Here is an 18880-nt window from a genome sequence, read left to right as displayed (position 1 = left end):
ATTTTCATGCACTGAACAGTATGTTATTTTATCCCATATTACACATCAAAACATCGAATTTAGGCTTAATATATAAAACTGTAATATTTTTATAAATGTATCTTTTTAGCCTGATTAATTCTGAGAGTTATTATCCCTGGGAATAATACAGCACCTTCTTCATCTAGCGAATACAAAATTGATTTATCAATCTGTTGTTTTCTAGTTTTTAAAAGTTCCAATTTAAACCTCTCCTTTAAAGACAAGTTACCAAGTCTGCTCATGCCAACTTGCACTACAGAGATTTTACTTAAAAGGTCTTTATTAATAGAAAAAAGGTAAAGTGGAAATTTTCTTCCTGACGCTTGTCTTGCTTCAGGCTTATATAAACAGGGATGTGATGTTACTGTTCTGGGGTCCTGGGCTTTTTCTGCTTGAAGTGAATTTAAAGAACTGACAGTCACCTGCACAGGGATGGGAAGGTAGAACTGCGCTGCGTGACCACACACAGGATCAGCAAGCATCGTTCATATGGAACAGCAGGCGGTGTGTCCCTCCTGGGGGGCTGACAATGGCCTTCCCATTGTTGTGCACACACATAGTATCAAGAACAAAACACATGTATTTTTATGGGTGGGAAAAGTCAGCTTACTGGCTATGCACCACTTCTCAAGTCCCACTATGACTCAACGTTAACTACAGACACCTGTAGATTATTAGAAAATAGAAAATATTAACCAATAGTGCATACATGCATATTTAACATATAATATCAAAAGAAATATCTTTTTACATTTTTTTCCTCCAAAGTTTAAGTTTGGGGGTACATATGCAGGATGTGCAGGCTTGTTACATAGGTAAACACGTGCCATGATGGGTTACTGCACAGATCATCTCATCACCTAGGTATCAAGCCCAGCATCCATTAGCGATTCTTCCTGATGCTCTCCTTCCCCCTCCCCGACCCCCTCACAGTCCCCAGTGTGTGTTGTTCCCTGCTATGTGACCCTGTGTTCTCATCATTCAGCTCCCCCTTATAAGTGAGAACATGCAATATTTGGTTTTCTGTTCCTGTGTTTGTTTGCTGAGGATAATGACCTCCAACTCCATCCATGTCCCTGCAAAGGACATGATGTAGTTCCTTTTTATGGCTGCATAGTATTCCATGGTGTATATGTACCACATTTTCTTTACTCAGTCTATCACTGATATGCATTTAGGTTGATTCAATGTCTTTGCTATTGTGAATAGTGCTGCAGTGAACATACTCATGCATGTATCTTTACAATAGAATGATTTCTATTCCTTTGGGTAGATTCAATAATGGGATTGCTGGGTCAAATAGTATTTCTCCTCTAGGTCTCTGAGGAATCACAACACTGTCTTCCACAATTGTTGAACTAATTTACACTCCAACCAACAGTGTAAAAGTGTTCCTGTTTCTCTGCAACCTCGCCACCATTTGTTGACTTTTTAATAATAGCCATTCTGATTGGCATGAGATAGTATCTCATGGTGGTTTTGATTTGCATTTCTCTAGTGATCAATGATGTTGAACTTTTCTTCATATGTTTGTTGGCTGCATATATGTCCTTTTTGTTTTTTTGAGATAGAGTCTCACTCTATTGCCCAGGCTGGAGTGCAGTGGCACGATCTCGGCTCACTGCAAGCTCCACCTCCCGGGTTCACACCATTCTCCTGCCTCAGCCTCCCAAGTAGCTGGGATTACAGGTGCCTGCCATCACTCCTGGCTAATTTTTTTTTTTCTTTTTTTTTGTAGAGACGGGGTTTCACCGTGTTAGCCAGGATGGTCTTGATCTCCTGACATCGTGATCTGCCTGCCTCAGCCTCCCAAAGTGCTGGGATTACAGGCATCAGCCACCGCGCCCGGCTATATGTCCTCTTTTGAGAAGTGTCTGTTCATGTCTTTTGCCCACTTTTTAATGGGATTGTTTTTTTGCTTTTTTTCTTGTAAATCTGTTTAAGTTCTTTGTAGACTCTGGATATTAGACCTCTGTCAGATGAATACATAGTAAAAATTTTCTCCCATTCTGTAGGTTGTTTACTCTGATGATAGTTTATTTTGTTGTGCAGAAGCTCTTTAATTAGATCCCATTTGTCAATTTTTGCTTTTGTTGCAATTGCTTTTGGTGTTTTCATCATGAAGTCTTTACCCATGCCTATGTTCTGAATGGTATTGCCTAGATTTTCTTCTAGGGTTTTTATATTTTTGGGTTTACATTTAAGTCTTTAATCCATCTTGAGTTAATTTTTGTATATAGTGTAATGAAGGGATCCAGTTTCAATTTTCTGTATATGGCTCAGCCAGTTATCCCAGCACCATTAATTAAAGAGGGAGTCTTTCCCTATTGCTTATTTTTGTCAAGTTTGTCAAAGATCAGATGGTTGTAGATGTGTGGTCTTATTTCTGAGTTCTCTATTCTGTTCCATTGTTCTATGTTTCTGTTCTTGTATGGGTACCATGCTGTTTTGGTTATGGTAGCCTTGTAGAATAGTTTGAAGTTGGGTAGCATGATGCCTCCAGCTTTGCCCTTTTTGCTTAGGATTGTCTTGGCTATTCAGGCTCTTTTTTGGTTCTGTATGCATTTTAAAATAGTTTTTTCTAATTCTGTGAGGAATGTCAATGGTAGTTTAATGGGAATAGCATTGAATCTATAAATTACTTTGGGCCATATGGCCATTTTCACAATGTCGATTCTTCCTATCCATGAGCATGGAATGGTTCTCCATTTGTTTGTGTCCTCTCTGATTTCTTTGAGCAGTAGTTTTTAGTTCTCCTTGAAGAGGTCCTTCACTTCCCTTGTTAGCTGTATTACTAGGTATTTTATTCTTTTTGTAGCAATTGTGAATGGGAGTTTATTTGTGATTTGCTTTCCTGTTGTTGGTGTATAGGAATACTGGCGATTTTATATCCCGAGACTTTGCTGAAGTTAGTTCCCACGGATAAAGTCAACTAGATCATGGTGGATAAGCTTTTTGATCTGCTGCTGGATTTGGTTTGCCAGTATTTTAGTGAGGATTTTTGCATCAATGTTCATCAAGGATATTGGCCTGAAGTTTTCTTTCTTTGTTCTATGTCTACCAGGTTTTGGTATCAGGATGATGCTGGACTCATAGAACAAGTTAGAAAGGAGTCCTTCCTTTTCAATATTTTGGAACAGTTTCAGTAGAAATGGTGCCAGCTCTTCTTTGTACCTCTGGTAGAATTCAGCTGTGAATCCATCTGGTTCTGGATTTTTTTTTGTTTGTTTGGTAAGCTATTTATTATTGCCTTAATTTCAGAACTCATTATTGGTCTACTCAGGGATTCAATTGGTCTATTCAGGGATTCAATTTCTTCCTGGTTCAGTCTCAAGAAGGCATATGTGTGCAGGAATTTATCAATGTCATCTAGATTTTCTAGTTTATGTGCACAGAGGTGTTTACAGTATTCTCTGATGGTTGCTTATATTTCTGTGAGGTGAGTGGTGATAACCCCCTTATCATTTCTGATTGTATTTATTTGATTCTTCTCTCTTCTTTATTAGTGTAGCTAGTGGTCTATTAATTTAAAAAAAAACAGCTCCTGGATTCATTGATTTTTTTTTAAAAGGTTTTTTGTGTCTCTATCTCCTTCAGTTCAGCTCTGATCTTGGTTATTTCTTGTGCTCTGCTAGCTTTGGGGTTTTCTTTTGCTCTTGGTTCTCTAGTTCTTTTAGTAGAGATGTCAGGTTGTTAACTTGAGATCTTTCCAGCATTTAGTGCTATAAATTTCCCTCTTAACATTGCTTTAGCTGCAGCCCAGAGATTCTGGTAAGTAGTCTCTTTGTTCTCATTAATTTCATTATTTAACCAAGAGTCATTCAGGGGCAGGTTGTTCAATTTCCATGTAGTTGTGTGGTTTTGAGTGAATTTCTTAATCTTGAGTTCAAATATGACTGCTCTGTGGTCTAAGAGACTGTTTGTTATGATTTCAGCTCTTCTGCATTTGCTGAGATGTGTTTTACTTCCGATTATGTGATCCATTTTAGAGTAAGTGCCGAGCAGCAATGAGAAGAATGTATATTATGTTGAATTTGGGTGGAGAATTCTGTGGCTATCTATCAGGTCCAAGTGATCCAGAGCTGAGTTCAGGTCATGAATGTCTTTATTAATTTTCTGTCTTGATGATCTAATATTTGTCAGTTGGGTGTTAAAGTCTCCCACTATTATTGTGTGGGAGTCTCTTTGTGGGTCTCTAAGAACTTGCTTTGCGAGTCTGGGTGCTCCTGTACTGGGTGCATACATACATAGGATAGTTAGCTCTTCTTGTTAAATTGAATCCTCTACCATTATGTAATACTCTTGTCTTTTTTAAATCTTTGTTGGTTTAAAGTCTGTTTTGTCAGAAACTAGGATTGCAACCTCTGCTTTTTTCTGTTTTCCATTTGCTTGGTAAATTTTCTTCCAACCCTTTATTTTGAGCCCATGTGTGTCTCTGCACATGAGATGGGTCTCTTGAAGACAGCATATGGATGGGTCATGGCTCTTTATCCAGCTTGCCATTTTGTGCCTTTTAACTGGGGCATTTAGCCCATTTACGTTTAGGGTTACTATTGTTCTGTGTGAATTTGATCCTGTCATCATGATGCTAGTTGGTTATTTTGCAGGCTTGTTTATGTGGTTGCTTCACAGTATCACTGGTCTGTGTACTTCAGTGTGTTTTTGTAGTGGCTGGTAATAGTTTTGGCTTTCCATATTTAATGCTTCCTTCAAGAGCTCTTGCAAGGCAAGCCTGTTGGTGACAAATTCCCTAAGCATTTGCTTGTCTGAAAAGGATCTTATTTCTCCTTTGCTTATGAAGTTAGTTTGGTTGGATATAAAATTCTGGGTTGGAAATTCTTAAGAATGTTGAGTATTGGCACTCAATCTCTTCTGGCTTGTAGGGTTTCTGCTGAGAGGTCTGCTGTTAGTCTGATGGGTTTCCCTTTGTAGGTGACCTGGCCTTTCTCTCTGGCTGCCCTTAACATTTTTTCTTTCATTTCAACCTGGAGAATCTGATGATTATGTGTCTTGGGGTTGATCTTCTCATACACTATCTTACTGGGGTTCTTTGTATTTCCTGAATTGGAATGTTGGCCTATCTTGCTAGGTTGAGGAAGTTCTCCTGAATGATATCCTAAAGTATGTTTTCCAACTTGGTTCCGTTCTCCCCATCTCTTTCAGGTACCCCAATCAGTCATAAGTTTGGTCTCTTCACATAATCTCATACTTCTTGGAGGTTTTGTTCATTCCTTTTAATTCTTTTGTCTCTATTCTTGTCTGCCTATCTTAATTCAGAAAGATAGTCTTCGAGCTCTGAGATTCCTCCGTTTGGTCTATTCTGCTATTGACACTTGTAATTGCACTGTGAAGTTCTGTGAATTTCTTATGCTGTGTTTTTCAGCTCCATCAAGTTGGTTATGTTGCTCTTTAAACTGACTATTATGGCTATCAGCTGCTGTAGTTTTAACATATTTCTTAGCTTCTTTGCATTGAATTACAACATGCTCCTTTAGCTCCGCGAAGTTCATTATTACCCACCTTCTGAAGCCTACTTCTGTCGATTTAGGCATTTTAGCCTCAGCCCAGTTCTGTGTCCTTGCTGGAGAGGTGTTGCAGTCGTGGAGGAGAAAAGGCGCTCTGGCTTTTTCAGTTTTCAGCATGTTTGCATTGATTCTTTCTCATGTTTGTAGGCTTATCTATCTTTGATCTTTGAGATCTCTAACCCTATCCATAACCTTTGAATGAGGTTTTGGTGGGGTCTTTTTTGTTGATGTTGTTGTTTTCTGTTTTTCTTTTAACAGGCCATTCTACTGTAGGGCTGTTGCCATTTGCTGGCGGTCTACTCCAGATGCCAGTTGCCTCAGTTTCTCCCATACCTAGAGGTACTACCAGTGAATACTGTGAAACAGCAAAGATGGCAGCCAGCTCCTTCCTCTGGAAGCTCTGTCCTAGTGGTTACTGACCTGTTGCTGGCCCACACCCACCTGTAGGAGGTGGCTGGAGACCCCTACTGGGAGGACTCACCCAGTCAGGAGGAACAGGATCAGGGATCTGGCTGCTTTTTGGTAGAGCCAATGTGCTGCACTGGAGATGGGGGACCCTCCCTCATCCGGACTGCCTGTGTTCTCCAAAGCTGGCAGGCTGAAGCAGGTAAGTTGACTGAACTGTGGCCGTCCCTCTTCCTGGGAACTTGGACCCTTCTAAGGAGGACTCTAATTCACTGCCATTGGCCGGCTGGGATTCCAAGCCAGAGGGTCTTAAATTGTGAGGTGCCATGGAAGTGCAGCCTGCAGAATGATGCCGTTTGGCTCCTTGGATTCAGCCCCTTTCCTAGGGATATGTACAGACAGATTTCTTGTCTTGCCAGGGATCCCAGAGCCGGAGTATGTAAAACTCTTGGGTCTCTGTGTATGCCTGAGCAGCTGCTCTGCTGAGACTCCAAACAGCTCTGTGTATCAGACTCAAGGCTGTGGTGGTATGGGCTCATGAAGGGATCTGATACATGGGTTGCAAAGATCCATGGGAGAAGCATGGTTTCCCAGGCAGGGTCACACAATCACTCACGGCTTCCCCTGGCTGGGGGTGGGGGTTCCTTTGGCTCCATACTGTTCCCAGGTGGGGCACTGCCCTCCACCCCTAGTTTACTTTGTTCTCTGTGGGTTGTGTTGTTTGCCTACTCAGTCCCAATGTGAAAATCTGAGTATTTCAGTTGAAGGTGCTGAATTCACTTGCCCCTTTTCATTCCTCTCTGTGAGTGCCACGGACCGCAGCTGCTTCTAATCAGCCTCTTGGATTCATCTCCTCTCTTTTTACATCTACATTTTAAATAGTTCCTGCCATCCTACATTAATTTATAATCTGCTACGTCTTGAGCAAATAAAGAAGTAATCTACTCAAAATGGTAATGCAAAAACCAAGGTTTACATTGGTGCATGTGAAACCAATAATGAAGCAATAAATCCTCTAAGCACTACTTAACCATATCACATCTTACAAAATGCAAAAGGTAGAGCAAGCTATAGAATGGGCAGACCCAAGAGGACATTTAGAAAGAAAAAATCAGTCCAAGATTCCCTTGAGATGTATTTCTACAATAAGAGTACATTTCTTAAAGACAATCAATAATTTGTAAAGTAAATTCAGGTTTGAAAAAATAATTATATAATTGTCTATTCCAGGTAAGTGAACACTGAAAGGCTATGCCAATGGAGACCCACCATATAGGGAGGTCAGAGAAGCTGAGACGATGGCTTGAAGGAGTGAAGAAAGCTTATGAGACATCTCAACAGCCTGAAGAAGTAGACACTTTGTCAACAGTGGGACAAAAATCATCTTAAATCACAGAGCCAGGGAGGGAGGTGGGGAGGAGCAAAGCAGAGAAAGAGGGGCTGGGAGATGGGAGCATTCTCAGCCTTTCTTTTACTAAAGGTGTCCAAGCACTATTGTGCATGTAGAAAACTATTAAAAAGGTGAATCTTTTAACTGATTTTTATGATTTTCACATATAAACTACATATAAAGCTAATGCAAAAGAAACAGTCCACCTTGTCGAGTGAGCCTAAATGAAGGATCTACCACTACAATCTCTAGCTCAGCAGGATGGGAGGACCTAAATAATGAAGGTTATGACACCTGAAATCGCCCCAACAGCCCTAGGAGGCAGCTACTAAGATTATTTCATTTTCAGATTAGAAAATGAAGGCATATAATCAATAAACATTTGCTGGATGATGGAATGAAACTGACATAGGAAAAAGCTGAAGTAGTCTGTCCAGAGGCAAAGAGCTACGAGAAGCTAGGTCTCTAGCCAGGTCCTTTCTCACCTTTACACTAAAACCCAGAAACAAGAACCACCACCTAAACAATGCCACGAGGACAGAGGAGGTACACTATGGTCCACAAAGTTTGAGAAAGTTTAGTCAAGGCCAGAGCAGCTTCCACCACCTGCAAGATTTCCTAAGTCTCTAATACAATCTCTAAAGCTGAGGTAGTGACAGAGTTTCTTGTACGTATTTTGCCATACAATCTTCTTTTTATTTTTAGAGCACTTCAAAGGACTAATAATGTTCCATGGAACAGACATTGGAAAAAGACAATCCGGGACACCAGCCATGGCAATATCCCACATGCTCCCTCTCATAAAGTAAGCGCAGGCTGCAGTGACTAGAACGGGCAGCTGGACATTACCTGGACAAAGAGGTAGATCAAGAGGCAGCACAAAGCTTGAAATGGGCTTTCGACAGCCTGCAGCTCTTCTCTTGAGGAGGAAAGATTGAAACAGGCTAGGAGTGTGTCCAAGCGCCGAACCTGTATTTCTGGCTCTTGGTTCAGCCATAATATTTTCAAACTAGGCGTTCCCCCTAGTTAAGAAAAAAAGTCCATTAACTATTGTTCTTTGCAGCACAGAGTTATAATATGCTCCTTGTAGAAATACAGTAAAAGGAAACAAATCTCTTCCCTTCCTGATGTAAAAGGAACTAGAAAGTAAACATGATCAGATTAGTGATTTTCTTTAAAAAGCCCAAACCTAAAGGGCTGGCATACGTACGTTTCAATGAAAACATTCCTTCTTTTTTTAATGGCTAAATTTTGAGGGATACTGCACTTTCGACCATTAAGAATGCTTTCAGAACATCTTTCAAATGCGCTGTCTCAAGGATATAACAAGGCACTGCCGCCCTGCAGTATCACAGCTGATGGAGCACTTGGATAAAACACCATCCATCTACCCCTTAGTTTGCTCTCTTACTCTCTTAAATTAATGGTTTTCAACCTTTCATGTGCAAAAGAATCAACTGCAGAGATTGTAAAAAAAAATGCATTTTCCTGGGATCTATATGCAGAAACTCTGATTTGATTAGACAGGTATGGGTGCCTGGAAGTCTGCATTTTAACAACTCAGAAGACTTGGATGCAGGCAATCTGTGGACCCCAGGCTTTGGAAAGCACTTTCCTAAAACTATTAAATACACAGAAATTCCTAAAATGTAATTTTTAGTGTTTCACTTCTATATTTTATATAGATGTTTAAACTATTAAAATCAAAAGAAAAACACCCTTACTCATTGACTGAAACCACGACAAATGATGACGACTCACACTGAGTTGCAGATGCAGGTGCAGCTCTGCTTCCACACTCTGACAAACAGAAAGGTGCTGTTTCTAAGGTCAGACTTGTTAATCTGTGACTGCTGAGATGTCCTCCCTTGCTATCCACAGCTGTGATTTTCTGTGAGGACCACTTGGCTATAAAATACATGCCAAAAGCTCAAGGCTGGCTGGGATCTAAATGTCCCTTTTGTTTACTAAGGAAACAGAACCTACTAACCAAACGGCCTCAGAGTCCAAATGACCCAAAAAAGGAAATTCTTCTCTTTCTTTTCTTATGTTTCCCACGATAGCACTGACTACTCTCAGTGGTATATTTCCCGCCATCAGAAGTGAAACAACTCAACAAAACTCACTTACATTTCCAAAATGGCTGAAGTATTCCCTCCACCTGAAAAGCTTTTTCATTATTTATTTTGGAGAGAGAAAAAACATATTTTTCTCTTAAGAAAATGCTAAGGATAATTAGCAAAAACAAAACAACCCTATGGCAGTAGTACTTAAGATAGAGATGAGTCCAAGACAACCACAAGTGTCAGTAATTACTTCTTAGAAACATACTTTCAGGAAAATAACCAACTCAGGCAACGTGTGCAGTCTCGGGACAAACCCAGCTCCTGCCTGTTTTTATGCACCCCATGAACTAAGAAGGGCTTTCATATTTTTAAGTGGTTGAAAAAAAAAAACCAAAGTAAAAATGATATTTCATGATGCAGGAAAACCACACAAAATTCCAATTACAGCAACTGAGGCTGGGCTTTACTGGACCATGTATACACACGTGGGTATCGTCCACGGTTCCTTCCAGGCTTTAATGACCAACCTAAGTAACAGAGACCATGTGGCCTGCAAAGCCTGAAATATTTTCTACATTACCCTTCACAGAATAAGTTTACTAGTCTCGGATCTAAGGTAAGTAATGAATCTTCTATTATCACAGTTATTTCAAATATACTAACGATTTTGAAAATCATTTTTTGACTACAATTCAGACAGGAAAGTATAAAGAAGAAAATAAAAACAATGTACAATTCTACCACCCAGATATAACCATATTCTGAAATACAAGTTTCCAGTCCTTTTTTAATGTGAATAAGACATTTATGAACATGGCTGAAAGGTCATGTCCCCATCAGCGTGCAGGGAGATGGACAGTGGAAAGATTTTACCTGTGTTTCATTGCTTACACATGAAAATTTAATACAAAAAAAAAAAGATTCATTACATATATTTAGTAGAACCCAGTACAGCCATGCGCCACATAACAACATTTTGGTCATCGATAGATCTCACATATAATGGTGGTCCCGTAAGATCACAATACCATATTTTTACTCTACCTTTTCTATGTTTAGGAATGTTTACATACACAAATGCTTGCCACTGTTACAGCTGCCTACAGTATTCGGCAGCCACACGCTTCACAGGTTTGCAGCCTGGGAGACACAGGCCACACAATTTAGGTTTGTGCAAGTACATTCTATGATGTTCTCATGAGAGAATCACCTAGCTGCGCATTTCTCAGAACTGATCACTGTGGTTAAGCAATGCAGGGCTGTCTAGTGGAAATGATCAATGAGAGACTTCCTGAATACATAACTAGGAACTTGTGATCTCTTACTCACTCCCTACAGGTTCAGACTCCATGAGATGGGCTTAGACATCCAAGGAAGAGATTTCCAGGTATCTGTCTAATAAACAAGACAGGAAGGAAGAAACACAAGATCCATCAATTGTTTACCAACATTTTTCCTACCATACTGTCACAAAAGTTTCTATGAAGGCTGAGAACTGAAGCTCCATTCATATGCACTGATACATACAATTCTAGGTGCTCTGCACCTGAGTGGCCCCACATGAAAGATGAACAGCTGCTAGCTACCTTGGAAGAGCTTGCAGGAGAAGGCTGTGCAAATATTACAAGAGTGCGAAGGTTTTATGACAGGAGTTCTTTCCCTTTTTTTGGAGACAGTGTCTTGCTATGTTGCCCAGGCTGGTCTTGAACACCTGGCCTCAAGTGGTCCTCCCACCTAGGCCTCCCAAAGAGCTGGGATTATAGGCATGAGTCACCGTGCCCAGCCTGTTAGAGTTCTGAAGGTCAAAGAGAGTAACAAACAAATTGGGGCAGGGCATTAATAAATTTTCATGGAAGAGACTGGTGGGAACATTGGGCTGGACTTTGCTGGATAAAGGACACTTATAAACAAAACTTATTCTGGGATTGAAAGGAGGCAACAATGGACAGTGATAAAAGCCTTCCAGCCTTCCTGACCTCTACCCAAGCATCCAACCAATCACATGCCAGGCACCACAGGAGGTGCTGACACAGGGAAATGACTCACTGTCTGCCCCCGGGGAACATTTACAATCAGTGGAGCACACTGAAACTAACCAAATACACTCGTGTCCAACTACAAAGCGTAGGGCAGAGGACTGCTGCTGCAGGGCAGAGACATTGTGAGGAAGAGACTTGAGCTGAGATTTGAAGAGGGGGTAGAAATGAACAAAGACGAGAGAAGAAAAGGGGAAGTTCAGGGAAGGGAAATGTCCCAAGTGCAATAGGAGCACACTGGAGGGAAGCCCTAAGGAAGACCAGCATCAAGTCTGCTATGCAGGAGGACTCTGGCAGCAGTGGGAAGCTGACTGGGGGAATGTAAAGGGAAAAACAAGAGGCAGGCAAAGAGGTGAGGGAATGGATCCACGCAACGATTAGGGGAAGCATGCTGAGGTGACTGGGACTCCAGATCTACGGACTTGCCCAGGTGGTGGCGGGGACATCCACTGCAATAGACAGTGGGATTCCAAGGTGGGGCTGCTCAGGAACCAGAGAGAGGCTAGCACCGCAGGCAACGGTGCAGGTGAATGGACTGAACGATTTCATCCGTTCTTCCAAGGTGGGGCTGCTCAGGAACCAGTGAGAGGCTAGCACCGCAGGCAACGGTGCAGGTGAATGGACTGAACGATTTCATCCGTTCTTCCAAGGTGGGGCTGCTCAGGAACCAGAGAGAGGCTAGCACCGCAGGCAACGGTGCAGGTGAATGGACTGAACGATTTCATCCGTTCTTCCAAGGTGGGTCTACTCAGGAACCAGTGAGAGGCTAGCACCGCAGGCAACGGTGCAGGTGAATGGACTGAACGATTTCATCCGTTCTTCCAAGGTGGGGCTGCTCAGGAACCAGAGAGAGGCTAGCACCGCAGGCAACGGTGCAGGTGAATGGACTGAACGATTTCATCCGTTCTTCCAAGGTGGGGCTGCTCAGGAACGAGTGAGAGGCTAGCACCGCAGGCAACGGTGCAGGTGAATGGACTGAACGATTTCATCCGTTCTTCCAAGGTGGGGCTGCTCAGGAACCAGTGAGAGGCTAGCACCGCAGGCAACGGTGCAGGTGAATGGACTGAACGATTTCATCCGTTCTTCCAAGGTGGGGCTGCTCAGGAACCAGAGAGAGGCTAGCACCGCAGGCAACAGTGCCAGCAAATGGACTGAACGATTTCATCGGTTCTCAGTCTTCAGAGGCCGTGACACGTAAGTGACATACTAGTGAACAAAGCTGGTAAACAACTTATGGAATCAACAGGTTTTATTTTTCTCTCTCCCACATCTTTTATTAGACCAACAGCCTTAGTATCATCTGGGAACTCAGAAATGCAAATTCTTCAGTCCCACCCTAGACTTACTCAATTAGAAATTCTAGGGGTAGGGCCCAGCAATTTGTGTTTTAACACACCAGCCAGGTGATTCAGCTGCTGAGTTTCAACAAAAAGGCTACAAAATCATTTACACACAGAAAACAAGTAACTCACCAACAATAAAGGAATTGGCTCTTGAGGAGTTCTAATGATATAATAGATTATAGAAAATCACCAGAGTAGGAAAAATGTCCTGATAAATCTTTTTAATATAAAAAATTTTCATCCTAAATTCAATCAATATTTTGCCAAGAAATATTTATTGAATGCCTATGTGAATACTAATTTAGGAGATAAGATACCTCCATAGCTCTCTCCAGAACTTGCAGGTATTTAATGGAAGATAATATACTCCAAGGTTTTTGTCTTTTAATGCTACTACCACAACGGAACATCCTCAGAATATGTGGAAGTCCTCTGACCACTCTACAAAAAGGCTTTAATTACAAAGTTACTTCTTTTCATAAATGCGGTAAAATGTTAGCTCCTCCTAGCCATACACAGGTTTATTTCTTAGCTGACAGGTTTCCAGGAATCATCTTATCCAGGGGAGGGTGTGGATGTTTTTGGAGGATCATTTAGATCACTTCTCTTCTAGTGGTACACTCTCTAAAAAGAATGGCTAACTCAGGTGTGATAACTCAGGAGGGTTGCGATGCAAGAGAATTGTTAATAAGTAATTTCAGTTTAAAGGAAATGTACTTGCATCAGAATTGGAAGGCAGACCAACTCAGGGGAGGGCAACTCAAACTTTATCTGGTGTGTAAGAGGACTCCATCCACACCCATCCAGTCATCTAGGTCTTGAATAAAGATAAGACTTTGCCAATAAAGATCGAAGGTGGCCCTCATGTTTCACCCAGAGCCTCATGGGCAGCTGAGATGTTTCCAACAAGAACTTAGAGACAAAACAAGCAATCTGGTCCCCAGGTCACCCACCAGCATCACTTCTAAAACGCATCAGCTTCAAAAACCCCGGTACACAATTTGGTAAAAGGTTTTGTGTGAACAGATGGACAGGACAGCCTCAGGGTCTTTTCAGGAGGGACCGAGCCCCAGGGGGCCATGCAGAAGCGCAGGCAAAGGAGGCAGTTCTATGGTGGGAAGCTCTGAAGGCTGTCCTGAGAGGTGTCTGGAGGACTTGGCCCCTGGGGGAGAGTTGTGAACGCACCTCCTGAGTGCCCCATTGCTGTTTCCACAGCTACAAACACAGAAGAGTGAAAGGCATGCTGGACGCTAAGCCATGGCACTTACATGTGCTTTTTACATGGAAATAAGTTTTTTAATAGGTAGGTTTTTGAGTTATTTTAAGGTTATTTTCCTTACATATTCCTAGGGTTAATAAAAACGTAAAACTGCCTGGCTTGTGTCTATTCTCAGGATGTAAGAAGTGAAACTCCTAGAATTAACTTGCATATATCTTTTAGCTCAGATCATTTGTGAAAGCTTAAATTCACAAGTTCAATTTAAGTGAGTATTTATTTAGCATTATCTGTTGGTAGATCATTCCTGGCCAAAAGGAAAAAAAACAAAAAACAAAAAACAACCAAACCAAAAAAACTCAGAAAACTGGAGACACGGGCTTGGCCTCCCAGCCTACATCCTTCTCCCATGCTGGATGCTTCCTGCCCTCAAACACTGGACTCCAAGGTCTTCAGTTTTGGGACTTGGACTGGCTCTCCTTGCTCCTCAGCCTGCAGACGGCCTATTGTGGGACCTTGTGATCATGTCATGGCTATGATCGTAATCAATCCATGAACTGAAAATACTGGAGATCTGGCAAGATGGCCAAGTAAGAACAGCTCTGGTCTGCAGCTCCCAGCAATTCCAACGCAGAAGGCTGGTGATTTCTGCATTTCCAACTGAGGTACCTGGTTCATCTCAATGGGACTGGTTAGGCATTGGTTCAGCCCATGGAGGGTGACCAGAAGCAGGGTGGGGTGTTGCCTCACCCAGGAAGTGCAAGGAGCTGGGGACTGCTCTCCCCCAGCCAAGGGAAGCCATGAGGGATGGTGCTATCCAGCCCAGATACTATGCTTTTCCCACAGTTTTTGCAATCCGCAGATCAGAAGATTCCCTTGTGTGTCTACACCACCAGGGCCCTGGGTTTCAAGCACAAAACTGGGCAGCTGTTTGGGCAGACACCGAGCTAGCTGCAGGAGTTTTTTTTTGTACCCCAGTAGTGCCTGGAATCCCTGCGAGACAGAACTGTCACTCCCCTGGAAAGGGGGCTGAAGCCAGGGAGCCAAGTGGTCTCACTCAGCGGGTCCCATTCTCATGGAGCCCAGCAAGCTAAGGACCACTGGCTTGAAATTCTCACTGCCAGCACAGCAGTCTGAAGTCGACCTGGGACGATCGAGCTTGGTGGGGGGAGGGGCGTCTGCCATTACTGAGGATTGGTAGGCGGTTTTCCCAACAGTGCTGGGAGGCCAGGAAGTTTGGACTGGGCGGAACTCACCACAGTGCGGCAAAGTGGTTGTGGCCAGACTACCTCTCTAGATTCCTCCTCACTGGGTAGGGCATCTCTGAAAGGCAGCAGCCCCAGTCAGGGGCTTATAGATAAAACTCCCATCTCCCTGGGACAGAGCACCTGGGGGAAGGGGGCTGCTGTGGGTGCAGCTTCAGTGGACTTAAACGTTCCTGCCTGACGGCTCTGCAGAGAGCAGCAGCGGATCCTGGCAAGGAGGTTTCTCCCAGCACAGCACTCCAGCTCTGCTGAGGGACAGACTGCTTCCTCAATGGGTCCCTCATCCCCGTGCCTCCTGACTGGGAGAGACCTCCCAGCAGGGGTTGACAGACACCTCATACAGGAGAGCTCTGGCTGGCATCTGGTCAGTGCCCCTTTAGGAGGAAGCTTCCACAGGAAGGAGCAGGCAGCAATATTTGCTGTTCTGCAGCCTCCGCTGGTGATACCAGGCAAACAGGGTATAGAGTGGACCTCCAGCAAACTGCAGCAGACCTGCAGAAGAGAGGCCAGTTGGAAGAAAAACTAACAAACAAAGTAACAGCATCAACATTAACAAAAAGGACACCTACACAAAAACCCCATCCAAAGGTCATCAGCCTTATAGATCAAAGATAGATGAATCCACGAAGATGAGGAAAAACCAGCGCAAAAATGCTGAAAATTACAAAAACCAGAATGCCTCTTCTCTAAATGATCGCAACTCCTCTCCAGCAAGGGCACAAAACTGGACAGAGAGAATGAGTTTCATGAACTGACAGAACTAGGCTTCAGAAGATGGGTAATAACAAACTCCTCTGAGCTAAAGGAGCATGTTCTAACCCAATGCAAGGAAGCTAAGAACCTTGATAAACACTTACAGGAACTGCTAACTGGAATAACCAGTTCAGAGAAGAACATAAATAACCCGATGGAGCTGAAAAACACAGCACGAGAACTTCGTGAAGCACACACAAGTATCAATAGCCAAATCAATCAAGTGTTAGAAAGGATATCACAGATTGAAGATCAACATATTGAAATAAGGCATGACGACAAGATTAGAGAAAAAAGAATGAAAAGGAACGAACAAAGCCTCCAAGAAATATGGGACTATGTGAAAAGACCAAACCTACGATGGACTGGTGTACCGGAAAGAGATGGGGAGAATGGAACCAGGTTGGAAAACACACTTTAGGATATTATCCAGGAGAACTTCCCCAACCTAACAAGATAGACCAACATTCAAATTCAGTAAATACAGAGAATACCAATAAGATACTCCTTGAGAAGAGCAACCCTAAGACACCTAATTGTCAGATTCTCCAAGGTTGAAATGAAGGAAAAAATGTTAAGGGCAGCCAGAGAGAAAGGTCAGGTTACCTACAAAGGGAAGCCCATCAGACTAACAGCAGATCTCTCTGCAGAAACCCTACAAGCCGCAAAAGAGTGGGGGGCCAATGTCCAACATTCTTTTTTTTTTTTTTTTTTTGAGATGGAGTCTCGCTCTGTCATCCAGGCTGGAGTGCAGTGGCATGATCTCAGCTCACTGCAACCTCTGCCTCCCAGGCTCAAGTGATTCTCCTGCCTCAGCCTCCCAAGTAGCTGGGATTACAGGTGCGTGCCACAATGCCTGGCTACTTTTTTGTATTTTTAGTAGAGACAAGGTTTCACCATATTAGCCAGGATGGTCTCAATCTCCCAACTTCATGATCCGGCCTCCCAAAGTGCTGGGATTACAGGCATGAGCCACCCCGCCTGGCCCCGACATTCTTAAAGAAAAGAATTTTCAACTCAGAATTTCTTTCCCTCTTTTTTTTTTAAATTGAATCCAAATTTTATTAAGGATTTCAAGTTACATACTTCAAATTTCTAGAATGGAATGGAATCATTTTGGAACTGGAAAAATGGCAAAAACACTGACATCCCTTAAAACTTCAATTTTATAAAGAAAATTCTTCTGCAAATCAACTCAGAATTTCATATCCAGCCAAATAAGTTTCACAAGTAAAGGAGAAATAAAATCCTTTACAGACAAGCAAATGCTGAGGGATTTTGTTACCACCAGGCCTGCCTTACAAGAGCTCCTGAAGGAAGCACTAAATAAGGAAAGAAAAAACTGGTACCAGCCACTGCAAAAACACACCAAAAAATAAAGACCATTGACACTATGAAGAAACTGCATCAACTAATGTGCAAAATAACCAGCTAGCATCATGATGACACATAACAATATTAACCTTAAATGTAAATGGGCAAAATGCCCCAATTAAAAGACACAGACTGGCAATTTGGATAACGAGTCAAGACCTATTGGTGTGCTGTATTCAGGAGACCCATTTCATGTGCAAAGACACACATAGGCTTAAAATAAAGGGATGGCGGAATATTTACCAAATGGAAAGCAAAAAAAAAAAAAAAAAAAAGCAGGTTGCAATGCTAGTCTCTAATACTACACACTTTAATCCAACAAAGATCAAAAAAGACAAAGCGGTATTACATAATGGTAAAGGGATCAATGCAACAAGAAGAGGTAGCTATCCTAAATATATATGCACCCAATACAGGATCACCCAGATTCATAAAACAAGCTCTTACAGACCTACAAAGAGACTTAGACTCCCACACAGTAATAGTGGGAGACTTTAACACCCCATTGTCAATATTAGATCAACGAGACAAAAATTAACAAGGATATTCTGAACTCAACTCTGGACCAAGTAGACCTAAGAGACATCTACAGAACTCTCCAACCCAAATCAACAGAATATACATTCTTCTCAGCACCAGACAGCACTTATTCTAAAATCAACCACATAAATGGAAGTAAAACGCACCTCAGCAAATGCAAAAGAACAGAAATCATAACAAACAGTCTCTCAGACCACAGTGCAATCAAATTAGAGCTCAGGATTAAGAAACTCACTTAAAACTGCACAACTACATGGAAACCGAGCAGCCTGCTCCTGAATGACTACTGGGTAAATAACAAAATTAAGGCAGAAATGAAGAAGTTATTTGAAACCAATGAGAACAAAGAGACAACGTACCAGAATCTCTAGGACACAGCTAAAGCAGTGTTAAGATGGAAATTTCTAGCACTAAATGCCCACATCAGAAAGCAGGAAAGATATGAAATTGACACCCTAACATCACAATTAAAAGAACTAGAGAAGCAAGAGCAAACAAATTCAAAAGCTAGCAGAAGACAAGAAATAACTAAGATCAGAGCAGAACTGAAGGAGATAGAGACATGAAAAACCCTTCAAAAAAATCAATGAATCCAGGAGCTGGGTTTTTTTTTGAAAAGATTAACAAAATAGATAGACTGCTAGTCAGACTAATAAGAAAACAGAGAATAATCAAACAGACACAATAAAAATGATAAAGGGGATATCACCACTGATCGCACAGAAACACAAACTACCATCAGAGAATACTATAAACACCTCTACCCAAATAAACTAGAAAATCTAGAAGAAATGGATAAATTCCTGGACACATACACCTTCCAAGACTAAACCAGGAAGAAGCTGAATCCCTGAACGGACCAATAATAGGTTCTGAAATTGACACAATAATTAATAGCCTAGCAACCAAAAAAAAGCCCAGGACCAGACGGATTCACAGTCGAATT

The 18880-nt window shown here is 42.1% G+C and overlaps 1 protein-coding gene across 15 annotated transcripts in view, besides 1 other annotated feature; it reads right to left on the bottom strand.

Moving 5' to 3' along the window:
• FAM120B (family with sequence similarity 120 member B) overlaps positions 1 to 18880 on the bottom strand; it is a 116365-nt gene that overhangs the window by 50554 nt on the left and 46931 nt on the right. For 9 of the 15 annotated variants that reach the window (XR_002956306.2, XR_007059342.1, NM_001286379.2 and 6 more), the window contains one exon: positions 8191 to 8363. The exons of the other annotated variants lie outside the window; for them this stretch is intronic. Coding sequence is in view for 7 of the 9 variants with exons in the window: in NM_001286379.2 (NP_001273308.1) it covers positions 8191 to 8363 (173 nt within the window). In the remaining 2 variants the exon portion in view is untranslated. The remainder of the gene's footprint in view (positions 1 to 8190; positions 8364 to 18880) is intronic. 15 annotated transcript variants of the gene reach the window in all.
• Positions 304 to 834: an enhancer, noted in NCBI's record as "NANOG hESC enhancer chr6:170664768-170665298 (GRCh37/hg19 assembly coordinates)". NCBI's record gives its function as "activates a minimal SCP1, AML or CMV promoter by ChIP-STARR-seq in naive H9 embryonic stem cells {active_cell/tissue: H9 hESC(naive)}" and the evidence as "EXISTENCE:reporter gene assay evidence [ECO:0000049][PMID:30033119]".

Source organism: Homo sapiens, chromosome 6 (assembly GCF_000001405.40).
Source record: "Homo sapiens chromosome 6, GRCh38.p14 Primary Assembly".
In the NCBI taxonomy this organism is placed as follows: Eukaryota; Metazoa; Chordata; class Mammalia; order Primates; family Hominidae; genus Homo; species Homo sapiens.
The sequence above is the reverse complement of the archived record's forward strand: the minus strand, read 5'-3'. Positions and strand labels throughout refer to the sequence as shown.